The sequence below is a fragment of the Homo sapiens genome, chromosome 5 (assembly GCF_000001405.40).
Source record: "Homo sapiens chromosome 5, GRCh38.p14 Primary Assembly".
In the NCBI taxonomy this organism is placed as follows: Eukaryota; Metazoa; Chordata; class Mammalia; order Primates; family Hominidae; genus Homo; species Homo sapiens.
In genome coordinates, this window is record NC_000005.10 from 14,323,544 (window position 1) to 14,340,154 (window position 16,611).

The window sequence follows — 16,611 nt, forward strand, 5'->3', positions numbered from 1 at the left end:
TTAGGAGGGAATCAATGGAAAGGGAAAAGGAGCTCCCATGACCACTCTCCAGCCCCACTCAGCTATCTCAGGCCTCCCTTGCTTCGCCGCATGGCGATTAGACAGCTGGGGGTGAATAATGCGGTCTGGGGTCTCCCTGAGCTTGGCCTCCGTGGGAGAGGGAAAAATAAGACCAGTGATTTCATGAGTAAAGTACGCCAGAGCACTAGGAAAGAAAGTGTGAGCTAGACTAACACAGGATGAGTATATGAATTCCAGTAAACTCAGAAGGATTCCTTCATTTGTGATTTTTACTTTGTAGGTAAATTTCATTAGTAGCATAATATTGACTATCCTTACAGCACTGCCAAACACCAGCCTTTAATAAAAATTAACATTATCTACGTGAAAGTCTTCCTTTATGGCCACCTACTTTGGTTTAACCGATCTGAAATGATGTTGCTTAGTCAATGAGTCATCTTTTGTTGTATATCCCTAAAATACCATTGATTTGATAGTCCAGAAAGCTCAGAATGTAATATGTTCATTTCTCTATCAGTTTCCCCAGCGATTTAAATAAAAGACAGTGACTGAGTAACTAAAATAAATGGAACCAGGTTGTTAATTTTGGTTTTATAGAGAATGTGGGCTGGCAGGGAGGAAATCTTTATTTTGCAACTGGAAAAAAAATCTGACTTTGTATAAAAAAGAACAAATTCAGAGTATTTTAGATTTACCTTTGCTTTTCATTTGTTTCATGTATTCTTTAAATGGATTATAGAATCAGAGGAGCTTATTTTCATTTTTGTGTGCGTAAGATGTGACTTAGAAGGGGTTCTCATTGTTTTGACTTAAAACACACTAATTCATTATGTATTGTATCTTGAGAACAGTGGCTACAGTTGACAGATGATTATCTATTTTCTCTGTGTGCTCTTTGGATGCAGAATTACCTGTAAAAACAAACTAGCTTAGTATGTTCTTGGTTGCTTTATGTCAGATGTATTATGTAGTTTTTCAAGTAGCAATTCTAGAGATGAAACTCTAGTTTTAGAAATATTTTAAAGACAGTATTTACAAACTGAAGTGGAATGTAGTGAGCTTGGAGTTGAGAAGACCTCCATTTGAATCTCTTTTCTTGGGCAGGTTACTTATCCGAGCCTCAATTTCTTGCTTAATAGAAATAATGATTAAAGTCTGCTCTCTTTTTATTTGTAGCTTTTATTTGTGATTCAGAATTCAGAATTTCTCAAAGATTAGAAAAGTAACACAGTGTACAATACTAACACTTCTAGTGGCATCTGGACAGCCCCCCCATAATCAAATGCATGGCTATTTCTATAGCTGAATGTTCAAGGACTTGCACTTATTAAGTACTCAGTAAAGACTATGTAAGTACCCTCAGGTTAGGTTTTATTGACGGATGAATTTTTAGAACCAAGTTTTGAAAAATATTTGGAATTTCAGAGCTTTCTGTGGTTGAGATCATGGAACTGTATTGCCCTCCCAAGCAGAGCATAGAACAGTCATTCAATAAATAGAGCTGATGGCAATGATGCGATGCATGACCATGATAGAAAACCATTCTAGGAAGTATTTGCAATCAACACCTCTGCATTTCAAAGGGAAAATATCATTTACATTGGTTTTCACATCGTATGTTGTTGTGAGGTAGGCTTTGAAATACTCTCCTGTTTGATGAGGGTTTAGTATGTGTTTCTTAGTCTGTGTTGCTATAAAGGAATACCTGAGTCTGGGTAATTTCTAAAGAAAACAGGTTTATTTGGCTCACGGTTCTGCAGGCTGTACAAGAAGCATGGCACCAGCATGTGCTTCTGGGGAGGCCTCAGGCTGCTTCCACTCAGCATGGAAGGCAAAGGGGAGCCGGAGCTGCGTGTACAGAACACACGGCGAGAGAGAAGCAAGAGAAAAAGGAGGGAGGTGCTGGGCTCTTTTCAACAATGAGCTCTTGCAGGAGCTAAGAGTTAGACTCACTCCCTCCCTTGAGGTGGTATCAGGCCATTGATGAGGGATCTGCCCCCATGACTGGAACACCTCCCGGTAGGCCCCACTTCTGACACTGGATATCATATTGCAGTGTGGGACTTGGCGGGGCCAAACAAACCACAGCAGAGAGAGAAAGAGAGAGAGAGAAATTTTTAAACAAATTTTTAAATAGTAATTACTGAGAAAGAGGAATCCGTAAATACTCTACAAGACCACAAATACTGAGTATTAGGTAGTAGGGACCTACTACAGAAAATAATTTTACAAATAGCTTATACAGGATGCCAGAACTCTGCAGCGGGACTGAGGAAGCATTACCTGTGGCCAGTTCCTGTTGCATCTAATCAAGGGTTGGTAACTATTCGCAGATTTACCCTAACTCAGTTTTGCTGAGCGTTGTGACAGCGTCATTTCCTAAGAGGTTACTTACCCAACAGCCTGAACCATTCTGAAACAAAAGCAGAGGTCTTTCCTTTTTCATCTCACCTGTATGTCAGGGCAGAAGCAGTGTAGACGGGAGGATGAGCCCTGAGGCAGGCATCCTGGCTTCTAGTGCACACTCAGGCTTTCCCATAAAGTCACAGAGGGCCCTGCCTGTGTCTTCATCTGTAAGAGGATAGGGATCGCCCTACCCCTGGCTCACTGTGAGGATGGATGGCTCACTGCACACACAGCCTTAGGTCAGGGGCTGCTTCCACAGCAGGTGCTCAGATGGCGAGATGATTGCTGGTCAAATGACCGTAATCATGCCACCATCACGTTCAGTCTTGCAATTAGGACCTTGGTTTCCTTTTCATTACAAACAGGGAGTTAAGCTAAACATTCTGAACAGCTTTCTGCCTTCTGACATTTGACTTAGGTGCTGAGCGATGGTAGCTGTTTCAAGTGTGCACGGTCCACTTTGGAACAACCGTGACCTTGGGACTGTTGTTTTGTCCATTAGAGGGCACTGGTGTACTGAGGAATGAGCCCACACCACACCCTCTGAACAGAGAGGAAGGTGGTGGTGGTCTCCAGCTTTACTCTTCTGCCTCTGTGCAGAGTAGCCGTGGGAAGGGATCAGCTTTTGTGTTTTTCATCTGGAAGGGAAGCAGCAAGCCCCAGGCCAGCCTTATTGTCTGTGGAGTTGAGGACACAGAGCAAATAGATAACAGGACTGTCTGGGAAGGGGGCGGAGGTGCAGCTGGCTGGACTGGATAGATAAAGGCCTGTAATTTGCTTATCTTAGTATGTTTTAAATGGGAAGATTTCACAAGCATGTCTTTAAAATGTTACTTAGACCAGGTATATTGACTCAGGATCACTGGGTAATCTGAGTAATCTACCCATACTTAGAATCAACAGCCTCATGGGGAGTTTGGTTTTGAATATTAGCTGGATTTCATAGCTGTCTGCAATTATTTATTATTATTTTAAAAGTGGAAATTATCATTGGAATTTGTACATATTCCTTTGAATTATTTTCATGTTTATTGGAAATACGATTTCACCTGGTATTTACATTTCTGTCTGAAGGAATCACTGTTAAAAGAAAAATGCCCATTATAATCCTGAGTGGTTGGTTTATAGCAGCTTTTATTTCCAACTTAAAACTTCCTAAAATACTTGGAAACAAATTTCTTTTTTATTTTTATTTTGTTGTTGTTGTTGTTGAGATGGAGTTTTGCTGTTGTAGCCCAGGCTGGAGTGCAATGGCATGATCTCAGCTCACTGCAATCTCTGCCTCCCAGGTTCAAGCGATTCTCCTGCCTCAGCCTCCCAAGTAGCTGGGATTACAGGTGTACACCACCACGCCCGGCTAATTTTGTATTTTTAGTAGAGACAGGGTTTCACCATGTTGACCAGGCGGGTCTCAAACTCCTGACCTCAGGTGATCTGCCCACCTTGGCCTCCCAAAGTGCTGGGATTATAGGTGTGAGCCACCGCGCCTGGCCAGAAACAAATTTTTATTAATTTAAAAATGTTGTATTTTGCTTCCTCTGGCCCTTTCTACCAAATAATGTTTATCTTTTATTTTTTGAAATTGTGCCCTTATTTCAAGTCTCTATGGACTTTCCAGTAATCATCAGGTTTGCTGCTTACTGGTGACTTAATTTTTCTCTTTACGTAAGTTAAGTAATATACCGAATATATTATATAATTTAAAAAAAAGTCTCCTTAGCCCTCCTGTAGATCTTACAGGCAGGTGAACTGTAGCAGAGGTGTTACTTATGTACCTCTAAATTCTTTTCAAGCTAGAAATATTTGATACTTCTCTTTTGCATGGTTTGGCCTCATGCCCAGGAGCACATTCCATTAAATGTATCCATTCTCAAGGCCGAGAGGTCCAGAAGTTGTCCTTGAGACATTTCTTTAGCCGTGGAATGGACCTGTGTTTTATAATATAAAAGACTGTGGGACAAACAACTCAGCAACGCTTTGTCTGCCTCGAAATCAGGTGGTGAATGTAGCAATACCTTATAGGACTCTCTTTTTAATCCCAAGAAAGAAAAATAATGTACTAAATACATGAGTTAAAATAATATACTCAATGCATGAGTTAAAATAATGTGCTCAATACACTAATGTGCTCAATACACTAGTTAAAACAATGCGCTCAATCCACCAGTTAAAGTGCACGCCCAATACGCTAGTTAAAACAAAGCACTCAATACACCAGTTAAAACAACGCGCTCAATACATGAGTTAAAGTAATGTGCACTCAATACGTTAAAACAATGTGCAAGTTAAAACAATGCACTACTTAAAACAATGAGCTCAATACGCTAGTTAAAACAATGTGCTCAATACACTAGTTAAAACAATGCACTGAATACGCTTGTTAAAACAATGCACTCGTTAAAGTAATGTGCACTCAATGCACTAGTTAAAACAATGCGCCCAATATGCTATTTAAAACAATGTGCTCAATACACTAGTTAGTGTGCTCAATACGTGAGTTAAAACAATGCGCTCAATACACGAGTTAAAATAATGCGCTCAATACGCCAGTTAAAACAATGGACTCAATACTCTAGTTAAAATAATGTACCGAATACATTAGTTAAAATGGAATATGTACAGCCTGTGCCGTCAGGAGCTTGAAATGAGATGGAAGCTTGCCATGAGTTCTGGTTATAGGCGGGGATGCCATTTGCCACACTGACATTAAGATGCTTGACATAGAGGTCATCGAATGCTGACAACTACCTGTGACTGTCACCACTGGGCAGGTAAGGAACCTGAAGCTGAGAAGGAATAAGGAACTTGCCCAAGAGCACACAGCTAAATTCTATGTCTCTGTATAGGGGGGCTGGAAATGGAGGGGTGGAAATGAGACCAGGCTCGGCCTCCACCCCCACCCCACACCTCCCACACGTCTGATTTCAGTGCCTGCCAGTTCTAGAAGGGTCTGTACAGAGGACCACAAGAGGTTTGTTAAGGTCTGCAATTTACCTGTAATACTAACTTTGCTAGACCTTGACCAGAAAGGACCCTCTGCCAGGCCCTCAGATGTGAAGGTCAGTGGTTTGGAGCAATGAGGAACATGTCAGGCTCTGATACTCACCAGCTGCTGCTTTTTTCCCCCTATATCTATGAACATGGCTGATCTCTCTACAGTACAGTTGATCAAGGGCAAGGAACCACAAGCTAAGCCCCTTTTATTTTGCCATTAGCAGAGCCATGGCTGGTTGGCTTCCCAGATTGCCCCCTAGACCACTGTCTTTGCTGTGTGTGCCCATTTGTTCTTTAGTCCAAGGTGATTTTGATCTGCATCGTCTGAATGTTTGTGTCCCCCCAAATTCATGTTGAAATATACTCCAGAAGAGGTGGGGCTTCCAGGAGGGAATTAGGCCATGAGGGCTTCACCCTTGTGAATAGCATTAGTGCCCTTATAAAAGAGGCCTGAGAGAGCTTGTTTGCCCCTTCCTCCATGTGAGGACACATAGAAGGCACCTTCAACGAGGAACAAGCCTTCACCAGTCACTGAGTCTCCTGGCTCCTTGATCTGGGACTTCATAGTGTCCAGACTATGAAGCCCTACATTTCTGTTGTTTATAAATTACTCAGTCTAAGGTGTTTTGTTAGAGCAGGCTGAATGGACAAAGAGAGCACCAGAGTTACAACATGCAAAGTATGAGTGAACCTTCAATACTATAGCTGTGCATTAACAAATATGTTTAAATATTTAAAATCTTTTAAAGTTTTTAGTTTTTAGCTAAAGACATCACTGACTTAGTTTTTTGCTGGTTATCTCCTATCCATCAAAGAGGACAAAGTGGGCATTTGATGTAGTGTAAATGCAGTTGTCCCTCAGTGTCTGCATGATCGCCCACATATACCAAAACCTATGGGTGCCTAAGTCCTGCATTTGGTCCTCTGTATATGTGGGCTTCACGTTCTGCAAATACTGTAGTTTCAGTCCACATTTGGTTGTGGATGCGGAACCCTTCTGTACGGAGAGCCGACTGTACTTATTTTTTAAAACCACATAAAAGTGGACCTGTGTATTTCAAACCCATATTGTTCGCAGGTCAACTCTAGTTTGTTAGATATTGTCAGCGTTTTGTGATTTAAGTATGAGACCCAATGAACTACTCAGTTCCAACTACGAAGTTTAAAACATAAGATTATACTGCTTTGTTTTTACTTTTTCTTTAGTGTGGTGGATTTCACCTAGCAAGAACTTTTAAGTAATTAAATTCATGAAATGCTTAGCTTTTGCAGCATCTTAGTTTAAAGAATAAATTATCCAAGCTCAAGACTGAGGCATGTAAGTGTTAGGTTTTACTTCATGTGTTTGAGTCTTCTAAAGAAGAGATGGAAAAAAAATGACTCTGTAGTTAAACTTGAATTGCCTTAGTAGTGTAGCTTTAAGCCTTATAAAATTGCTAAGTTAAATTGGCCCTGTGTGACTTCCTAATCACTGTCTTATACAATACCCAGTCAGTTTGGTGGCCCAGTGGTGCATAGATAAGTTGAGATTTAATTTAATCATTATTGCATGCAATGTTTATACATAGAAAGGTTTCCACTTTTAATGTAAGAGATGATTAAAGTCCTGCTGGGAAAGCTGATGTAATTATCAGCTTGTAATTATCGAGTGTGTTAAATTAGTATCCAATTACTTCTTCCCATTTTTTTTTCTCGTTTGCTTCTTGTTTCTTACAGAGTTTTAACAACAGAAGGGGTCTTCATTGGATAACCTTAAACATTGAACATGGCAGGACATTGTTTTTATGGCATATGTACCTGTATTTCATTGTAGGTGCTAGACTGGATCGAGAACCACGGAGAAGCATTTCTGAGCAAACATACAGGTGTGGGGAAATCTCTTCATCGGGCCAGAGCATTGCAGAAACGTCATGAAGATTTTGAAGAAGTGGCACAGGTAAAACAATGGCTTCTATTATTTTATCCCATAAATACCCGTGTGGTTGATTTTGGATTACAGTTTTAACCACATTTGAGATAAGTTAGCATTAGCTCGATGTGTTTGACACCTCAGATGAGGTAAAGGCTCCGATTTCAGAGTGAAGTTGTCATTGCCTAGGCAGAAACATGATTTGGTAAGTTGACGCTTTCTAAAATACGATGTTCTTGGAACAGAAATGTGACTTGGGTGTTTTTGTCTTGTTTATTATACCAGTGCCTTTTGACTACTTTGTGAAATTCCAGTTTATAATCAGGAAATAACAGTTCCTTCTGCGTTTCTATAGTAGTAGGCTAAGCCTTACTTGTTCTGTTTGCATTTCTTTAAATGTGTGGGCTTAGGAAACAGGAGCCGGGAGTCCAGTGTGTTCCGAATGTGGGATTTGTGGGGTTTGAGCACTGGCCGCCTGACTTTGGACAAGTCGCTTAACCTTTCTAAGGTTAACTTTCTGATCTGAAAAATAAGCCCAGTAATTTATTTAATAAGATTTTTCTTATAGTCAACTTCTTTAAACTAGTGAGTTGTGGCTTGATGAAGTAACACAGCAGAGATTCAGAAAGGAAGTGGTGAAATGTTATGGTTGAATTCATTTAAAAATGTACTAAATATAGATTTATTATATAGAACAGTTCTGGTGTTCTGAGAAGGAGGAACCCAAAATTCGAACCTCATGTTTAGGTGGTGGAAGCGAGTCATACAGTGTAACTTCTGCAGACACAAGACCTAGCTGCAGGGGCCCTGGGTTTCAGAATTTGTTTTAGACACGGCTGCAGTCACCTCAGGAAGCACTTGGATCCATTTTGCATGCAGTTTTGCAGAGTCAAGAACTTCCTCGTAACTAATTTGAAGGTCCTTTCCTTAATTTTGTACAGTGATTGTGAGTAGCTCTATCCTGTTGAATGAATCCATGCTAATTGATGTGTATGTGTGGTGTGAATAGCCATCGTGCATTTTCATGGGCTAGTGTAAAAAAAGAAATAAAAAATACTTTTCATGCGAAGCTTTTTGCAAATAACTGTCAGGAAGATACTCTTTCATGTTAATGTTCCTGTTTTAGATTTTAAAAGTTATGATTAAAACAGCCAGTAAAGCCCAGAAAACTCAGGTTCAAGGAAGAATCTGGTTTTGAGAGCACAGAAGGTATCTTTACTATCATTAGTAAATCTTTGGCATAGCATCCTTCCTAAGTACCTGCTCTGTGAATTCTTAAACCACCCTCGCTCTTTTCTGCCTATCCCCCTGGATTCAAATTATCTTTCAGAGATGTAACCTGTCACAAAGTTATTATCCAGGAAGCCATTTCTGTCAACAGCTTTTCGTATGTGCCACGTAATTATCTTGTCTTCCTGGATAAAAGAGTTTGTCATTTAGGAAAGCAGGAGACCTTGAATTCATTCTTGATTTTTAAAAGAAAAGCAGACCAGTGACTCCCTGGTCATGACTTAACTCATTCATCTTTTGCAAGGAGGATAACTGCCTCCATAACACGTGGACATACAGAATGTCCCCACGTGTAGCATGCTCTAAATTCTGATTTGTGACAGCCGTTAGAGCATGCATATGTACAAAATAGGCTGTTGCTTTGCAGTAAGTTTGGTTCCTAATATAAGATGTATTGTTTTTAATCTTTTAAAATAAATTACTAGTGGAAAATTCAGGTCAAATTATTTGCTATCAAGCATTTTCTTTAGACTGGCACGTATTTACAGGGTACCAAATCTTCTCATCTGCTAATTTTTCCTTATTAAAAATACTTCCAAAATTTACCAATATGACTCCACTGCTTTCTGATTGCAAGACAGTGGAAAACTTCATCTCTCGGAGCCTCGGTTTTCCTTGCTGTAAAATGATACCTAACACCTACCTTCACCGAGTCGCTGTGATGAGAATACATGTAGAAATGCCTGACACCCAGCAGGCGCTTGTGGTGCTGTCTTTGCCTAGAACAGTACGATCATTCAGATTATTCAGATCTTTTGGTGAATACTAGCCTTGTGTTTACGTTTTGGGACAAGAGCCACTAGAAGCCAAATGCGCCTGCGACTTTGCCCTTCCTGCAGTCTTCAGCTGCAGGACCAGTTTTTACTAAAGACGGCCAGAGGCTGTATTTGGAATCCAGTGGAAAATAATGAGACTTGGCTCTTCCTGCAGTCCTCAGCAGCACTGGAAAGCAGCACCAGAGGATGTTGGAGTTGTATCACCCGCGGGCCACTTCACCTCGCTAAAACCCTCCCACTCCCACACTACACAACAGTGTGTGTCCGGTCAAATGGTGAGAGACATAGATAGTTGTCTGTGTTTTGCTGTGTCCAGAGAAATCCACAGCACTTCTTGGGTCCACTGTTAGTTAGCGTTTGTGGTGCTGCTTACTCTATCCTGTGGACACATGTTGCAGGGGCGGTGAGCTTGTCTCTTGGGATGCCGTGTTTTCCCTTCACGGATGAAAAGACGATCCCTGGGAATTTGTGTGCCTTTTAGGTGATAATTTAAGTTACCTGGGGCTTTTAATTTGCACTGTAGATGTCCTGGCCCATCATTCTTCTGATTACATTTCTGTATTAATAAAATACCTTGGAGGTTTTCAATATGCAGACTTTGTTGTCTTTTAAACCAAGCAAATATAATGAAAGTATTTAGGCCTCAAATGCTCATTTTCCTTCTTTTTCCTATCTGTTCTAAGTTCCCAAAATCCCTTATTTTCCATTGAATTCTAAGTACAGCCCCTGGTCATCTTTAGTGAGAAACAGCCCTGCAGCCAAGGATTGCAGGAAGAGCAAAGTCTCATGCACCTTTGCCTTCTAGTGGCTCTTTTTGTCTGCTTGAGTCCTACCAAGTTCTCAAGAAAAAGAGGACACCAGTTAGGCCCCCACCCTGGCCTGGCCTTACCTTATTCCTTTTAATCCCCATGGCAGGGATGACCCACACACCACAGATCAGAAAACGGCTCTAGCATGAGATGCCTCGGGAACAGGATAGTAGGAGTTGGACAGGAGAAGCCCAGTCTCTCAGACTCTCAAATGCTCCCTGACTCTGATATCCTCCCCACTTTAGTCCAGTGTCTCAGTTTCCCCTCGTGTGAGGAACTGTGGCTTAGGTACTGGTTGTTTTAACAATCCCAGCTCTGCTGACTGACTTGGTGGACAAGTTACTGCACCCCTCTGTGCCTCGATTTCCTCGCCTGTGAAATGGGAAATCAGGTAGTATCCATGTCCTGCCGCTTTTGTGAGGCACAGTGTTAAGTGCCAAAAAGGTAGCATTTCTGATGAGTATGGTTGATACTAGCACAAAGAAATCTCTGTTCTCCAGTTGCAGAAGGACCCAGGGAAGGTCTCGTTCCCGGGAAAACCTGGCCAGGGGTTTCAGAGGCACGAGTGCTGACACAGGCCCCACCAGCCCTGGCACCTTTTGTGCTGTCTCATGTTCTTCAAGCACAAGATTAAAAGGGAAATAAATGATGGCTGTTTCACGTCTCAGATCATTCAGAAATGCACTTGTTTCTTTGGGACATTTTAAAAAATATCTTTACTTGTTGGAATAGACGTGGGAAGGCTTTCAGAAACGTAATACTTGGCTGTTGGGAGGCTCTGTCATCTTTAGATCCACTTACCAAATATGAGAAGTCCACAATTCCAAAACTGTAGTGGTGATCATAGGAAAACAGGATTCAGCTCTTTAGAAATGTGCGTCTGTGGCACTCTGGGTTCTCTGTACAGCTTGCTACACCGTTAGCTTCATTCAGCATGGAGGCCCCGTTGTGCCCATGATAGAGATGCAGACACAGGAGTTCCGAGGTGACGCTCAGCTGGGGGTAAGCAGGGACTTCCAAGCCTTCTTCCCTGGAAGGAAGCCACCTGCAGGTGCGGCCTCTGATGGCTAGAGAACCTTTGTAGGCAAGAGTGCAGGCAGACCCTCCACAGCAGAGCCGTTGGTGCTCATGGCTGACCATGGTCACAGGAGTGCCCACTCTTGTGCCCAGAGGCACAGGTGGCAGCCATAGGAGGGGAGGGCCTGGATGAGAGAAGCCCTGGAAAGCAGTCAGGAATTGTTCCATAGGTGAAAGCTGCTTTTTAGATCTGTCTCGTGTGTGTGTGTGTGTGTGTACACATGCGCATTCACATCTGTCTGTTAAAAACCATGTATGTATTCATGCGAATAGCTCCAATTCCAGCCCAATGCCAAGAGTTCACTCAAGTTTTCTCCTTCGCTATATTTATAACTCCCTTTTCTCAAATAGAGAAACCTGGCTCCCATTATCCCTCAGGTATTGGCTTACTTGTGTAATTCCATTCTACTAATGTAACCAGTCTCCCAACTTGGAGGCCACCCCTCCCCACATGACGCCCTCACATCCTGCTCAGACCCTCACCGATGAGACGCCTTCCCTGCTCATCTTACATCTCTGAGAAGGATAAGGATTCACCTTGTTTCTCAAGGGAAACCCAAAGCTGACTTCCTGGGCCTTCTTAGAAGGCCTGAGCTCCGTTCCTTTCCTGTCCTGGCATCCCCCAGCGTCTCCCGGGGCTCCCCTCCCACCTGTGGACCCCTCCGCAGCAGCTTCCTGTAACAGCATCAGGGCTCTCGCATGCCTTCCTGTTGGAGGAACCCACTTACAGCCTCAGATTATTAGGAATTAAGGTGATTTTTAGAGTATTTTAGACACGTGTTTACACTTTGAGCTCTTTAAAACTCTGGCTACTTTAGAGCCATTATAGTTATTATTTCCTTTTTCTCAAAAAATGTGGCCAGGCAAAGTGGTTCATGCCTGTAATCCTGGTACTTTGGGAGGCCAAGACGAGAGGATTATCTGAGCCCAGGAGTTCGAGACCAGCCTGGGCAACATTGCAAACCCCCATCTCTCCTAAAAATACAACATTTAGCTGGGCATGGTAGCGCATGTCTGTGGTTCCAGCTACTTGGAAGGCTAAGGTGGGAGGATTGCTTGAGCCCAGGAGTTCAAGGCTGCAGTGAGCTGTGATCACACCACTGCACTCCAGCCTGGGCCACAGAGTGAGACTGTCATGCAAGCTGGAAAACAAAACAGAAAAATAAAAAATATATAGCCTTAAGTAGAAAGAAGATGAGCACAGAATTACCAACAAGTAGAAATGTGTGAAAAGGGATAGCAACTTATGTTTGTTTGGAATTTAACCTTTAACTTGTACTTCGAGAATTATCGTAAAGCATTGTATCATACGGAAAGACATAGACTGGAACTCTCTGCTTGGTGATAAAACTGGAAGAAAAAGTGAAGCAGGCATTTGTTGCTGGGGGCCGTCTCCTGACTCCACCTTGGCAAAAATCTGAAAGCTCTGAGTCACAAGACAGCCAGCAATTGCCTGCAGATAGTCCATCACTACCTTCAATACAAGGGTTTTGATATGGGGTTCAAAGTTTAACAATCTAAAACAACAGCGGGAAAGGAATTCTGCATAGAATTCCCAAAATCATCTCTCCCCATCATATTTTTCTGTTTGATTCATGTAAGTGATCAAAAATATCACAAATTGACTGTGTTGCTATATATTATGGCGCCCAGCCTGGCTGGTCTGCTTTTCACTTACCTTCTGTTTCTCTGGGATGTTCTCTTGTGCAGAACACATACACCAATGCGGATAAATTACTGGAAGCAGCAGAACAGCTGGCTCAGACTGGGGAATGTGACCCCGAAGAGATTTATCAGGCTGCCCATCAGCTGGAAGACCGGATTCAAGATTTCGTTCGGCGTGTTGAGCAGCGAAAGATCCTACTGGACATGTCAGTGTCCTTTCACACCCATGTGAAAGAGGTAAGGTGCCAGGAGACCAAAATATGATCTGTGCTTGAAAGGGTCTTTGAACTCTTTTGGAGGAACCTAAATTTAGTCATAATGTGAGAAAGTGGACAAAGGTGGCAAGTTGTAAGATGTAGCCCATTAGTGCTGAGTGTGTCTGCGTGGACAGGGAAAAGCCGGGCTTGTGCTGGCTTTCCTTGTTTTGTGAGCGCATGGCTGCCTTTGCTGGGGCTTTCCATAAAGAGAGGACCCATGAGGGTTGGGAGAGACAGAGAACGTCCATTTCTATAAGTAGGGGACCTGCGCGTTGTTGGTCAGAGCTGTTGGGTCTCCTTCCTGGCTGTGAACCTGTCACATGGCTGCCAACATGATTGCCTCTGGATTTTACGAGACTTCTCTCAGATGCTAGTAAACGTGAGTGTTACCTAATATTGAGTTTAAATGTGCCAGAGCCAACCTGGTACGAATAATATTAAAGCTAATGTCATAGGCATGCACCTGTTAATCAGCTCATCTCATGACAAGAAATAATGTTATTTGGTGTGTGAAAAATAGGTAGGTACTAATTATACCTTGCATATATGTTATTCTTGGTAGAAATCATATAAAGTTACATGAAAGAAACTACTATGTAGCTTCTGAGGAAAAAATAATTTAAAATAAAAGTTCATATTCAGGGTGACTACAAATTGAGTAGGGATGTCAACTTACCACACCTTACTTCTGTGTAAAAAAGAAAATTCCCTGCGTCACTGAGGACCTTCACAGAGGATCGTAACTTATTCAGATGCAGCTCTTGATGAACTGGAAATGAGGGGCCCTTCTGGGTAACTGGGGACTATGCACATGGAAGCTTGTGGTCATAGGATGGGAAAAAGGATCTGGAAGAGTAGGACTACTGGGGAAAGAGGGGAGGGCGAGGCCTGACTTGCCTCATTTCAAGGCATCAGTGCTCGGAGACCCACCAATTCCTTTAAAGGAAAAGAACGGCACTACCAGCTCTGAGATCTTGGACAGTTAGTCCTCAGTCGGGTCATTTGTTGCTGGAATGTTTGGACTGCAGGCTTCCCTCTGAAACCCTGTGAGGCTGTGAAGGAGTGGAGGAGAGTACACAGCAAACCACTGGGACCCCTGGGGTTTGCACTCAGTCCTGCCCCGGGCTGGCAGCTGGCTCTCTCGATCCTTTCTGCCAAGGGGCTGGTGCTTCTTGGTCCCGAGATGGTCATCAGGATAGAAACTGGCACAGCTAACTTCTTTTCCTGCTCCTCAGAATGCCATCACTGAAATTGCTCTTGAAAATTCTTAACAAAAGAGGCTATTTTTTTGAGGAGACACATTAAATGGACATTGTTCTGTGGCAGTTCCTAGTCATTGCTGCACGTGCCTCTAGACTAAGTTTCCCACTCATTGTGAACCGAGCTTGTCTCTTGCTGCCCTCCAGCCTCTGCTAGCTCTTTGTCCCAGCCTCCCTGTGGCACCGCTACCAGAGTAATTTTTCTGAAATAGAAATTTGACTAGGCCGTACCCCTGCTTTTAAACTACCAGTGGTTCTTCTTGTATGTGGGGAGCAGCCTGATACCTCCACATCCTCACAACATAGACCACGTTTTTCCTTGCAGCCTGTCTTGTGCTGTGTCCTCCTCTTCCAGGACCCCTCCCGCTCAACACAGTATCCCCTGATCCAGAACTTTCTGGCACCTTTGAGACAAGGATGGGCGTGGTTAGCCGCTCTCCCTTGCACCTTCTAGAGCTCCCTCTACATGCACCTGTTAACGGCAGTTGTCATGCGTGTGATTGTGTGTTACTTTACATGTTTTTACACCGTAGCTGAGAGAGAAGGAGAGGGTTAAGGTGATCTGTGTATGAAAACAGATTGTGGCATAGTTCACTAAGCTGTGACATTGACAGAACATGGGCCAGGAGCACAGCAGCCTGGACCCTTCTGAGGGCAGGGACCTGGGCAGGGATGTCCAGTCTGCAGGTTCCTCATTCGGGGCCCAGTGACCACAGTTGCCCTGGATGCTGTAGATGCCATAAGGGAGAGGCAGGAAGAGTGTCAGGCAGCTGGGAGTGGCTGAGAGGCCAAATCGAGAGGAAGGGGCAGAGGGAAGAGGGCCTTGCATCTGTGGCATGTTCCAGAGCCAGGTGGTTGGAGCTGGTGTTTGTGTGGCATGCCTGGCCATATTCTATAGCAGCTTAGCAGTCTGAGGTAAGGGTCTAGCTTCCTTATAGGACAGAAGACTCTTCCCACCAAGCAGTATTTGTGATTTAAGTCACCTTTTCAACTCGGCAGTGGTTTTCAGAAACCAGACACTAAAGGATAACTGGAAGGAAAGTGCTTTTTCAAAAGCTGTTACCTACAAATAATTAAAAAAAAAATTAGCCGGGTGTGGTGGCACCTGTAGTCCCATCTACTTGGGAGGCTGAGGCAGGAGGGTCACTTGAGCTCAGAAGGTGAAAGTTGCAGTGAGCCGAGATCACACCATTGCACTCCAGCCTGGGCAACAGAGCAAGACCCTGTCTCAAACACAGAAACAAAGCTCTTGTCCAGAGGCTTCGTTTGGGCTCATTGGCTTTTGTAACAGCAGTGTTTTTAAGGAACAATCTTCTAATAAGAGCATCCACTTATAAGACCATGGAGTCTGTATTGTCACTAGGTTTGGAAATTATTTAAAAGTAAAAATACATTTTGTTTTCATTGACTTACACAATAGGAATTTCTAGTATGTATGAGTTTGTAGACTAAGGAGACCTTAAATCAGTTTTAAGGACTAAGTGGTTCACTTTTATGACTGCAGGATTTTTAGTGCAGTCTATGAAAGGCCATCTTAGTAGCAGAGAAACTGGCATGTTTTCCTCGACCTGCACCATCTTACTTGTGTGCACGTCACGTAACCTGGGACCAAGGAGGGATCGGGGCCCAGTTAGGGAGGGCATAGCAGGACACACGTGTGCCCGTGTGATTGGCATTCAAGGACGCTGCCCGCAGGCTGGAATGCTGCCCGTTTCTTCAGTAGATTTGTCTTTCCCTGACCAGCCTGAGAATTTCCCTCAGTTCTTTTTCTGTGCTGTACAAAAGCCCTGAAACTCCCAGGAATCCTTGGTAGGTTCCATGCGGGAAAGAATGGTTTCTTCAGTCATCGTATTTTGAAGCTGGTTATTGAATGAAAACTAAGATAAGCTTAGAACAAGTTTAATTAGTTTAAAATGAAAAGCTAGATGGGCCTAGAAGAGGAAATCATGCTAATTTGCTAGGTGTTTGCATAAAGTCACTAAATGTATTTGCATATCAGATGAACGAAAAATTGCTAAAAGATACACATTGTCTGAGTCTGTTCTTCTTAAGCAGATCATACAATTAAAAATTACATAGAAGAAGATAGAAAAAGTAGCTTGTCTTGGCTGGGCGTGGTGATTCACGCCTGTAATCCCAGCACTTTGG

General features: G+C 43.0%; 1 protein-coding gene across 11 annotated transcripts in view; it reads left to right on the forward strand.

The window, feature by feature from the left end:
- The window catches only part of TRIO (trio Rho guanine nucleotide exchange factor), a 366,863-nt gene that overhangs the window by 180,202 nt on the left and 170,050 nt on the right, over positions 1 to 16,611 (forward strand). For all 11 annotated transcript variants that reach the window (NR_134469.2, XM_047417679.1, NM_007118.4 and 8 more), the window contains 2 exons: positions 7,235 to 7,357; positions 12,993 to 13,184. Coding sequence is in view for 10 of the 11 variants with exons in the window: in XM_047417679.1 (XP_047273635.1) it covers positions 7,235 to 7,357; positions 12,993 to 13,184 (315 nt within the window). In the remaining variant the exon portion in view is untranslated. The remainder of the gene's footprint in view (positions 1 to 7,234; positions 7,358 to 12,992; positions 13,185 to 16,611) is intronic.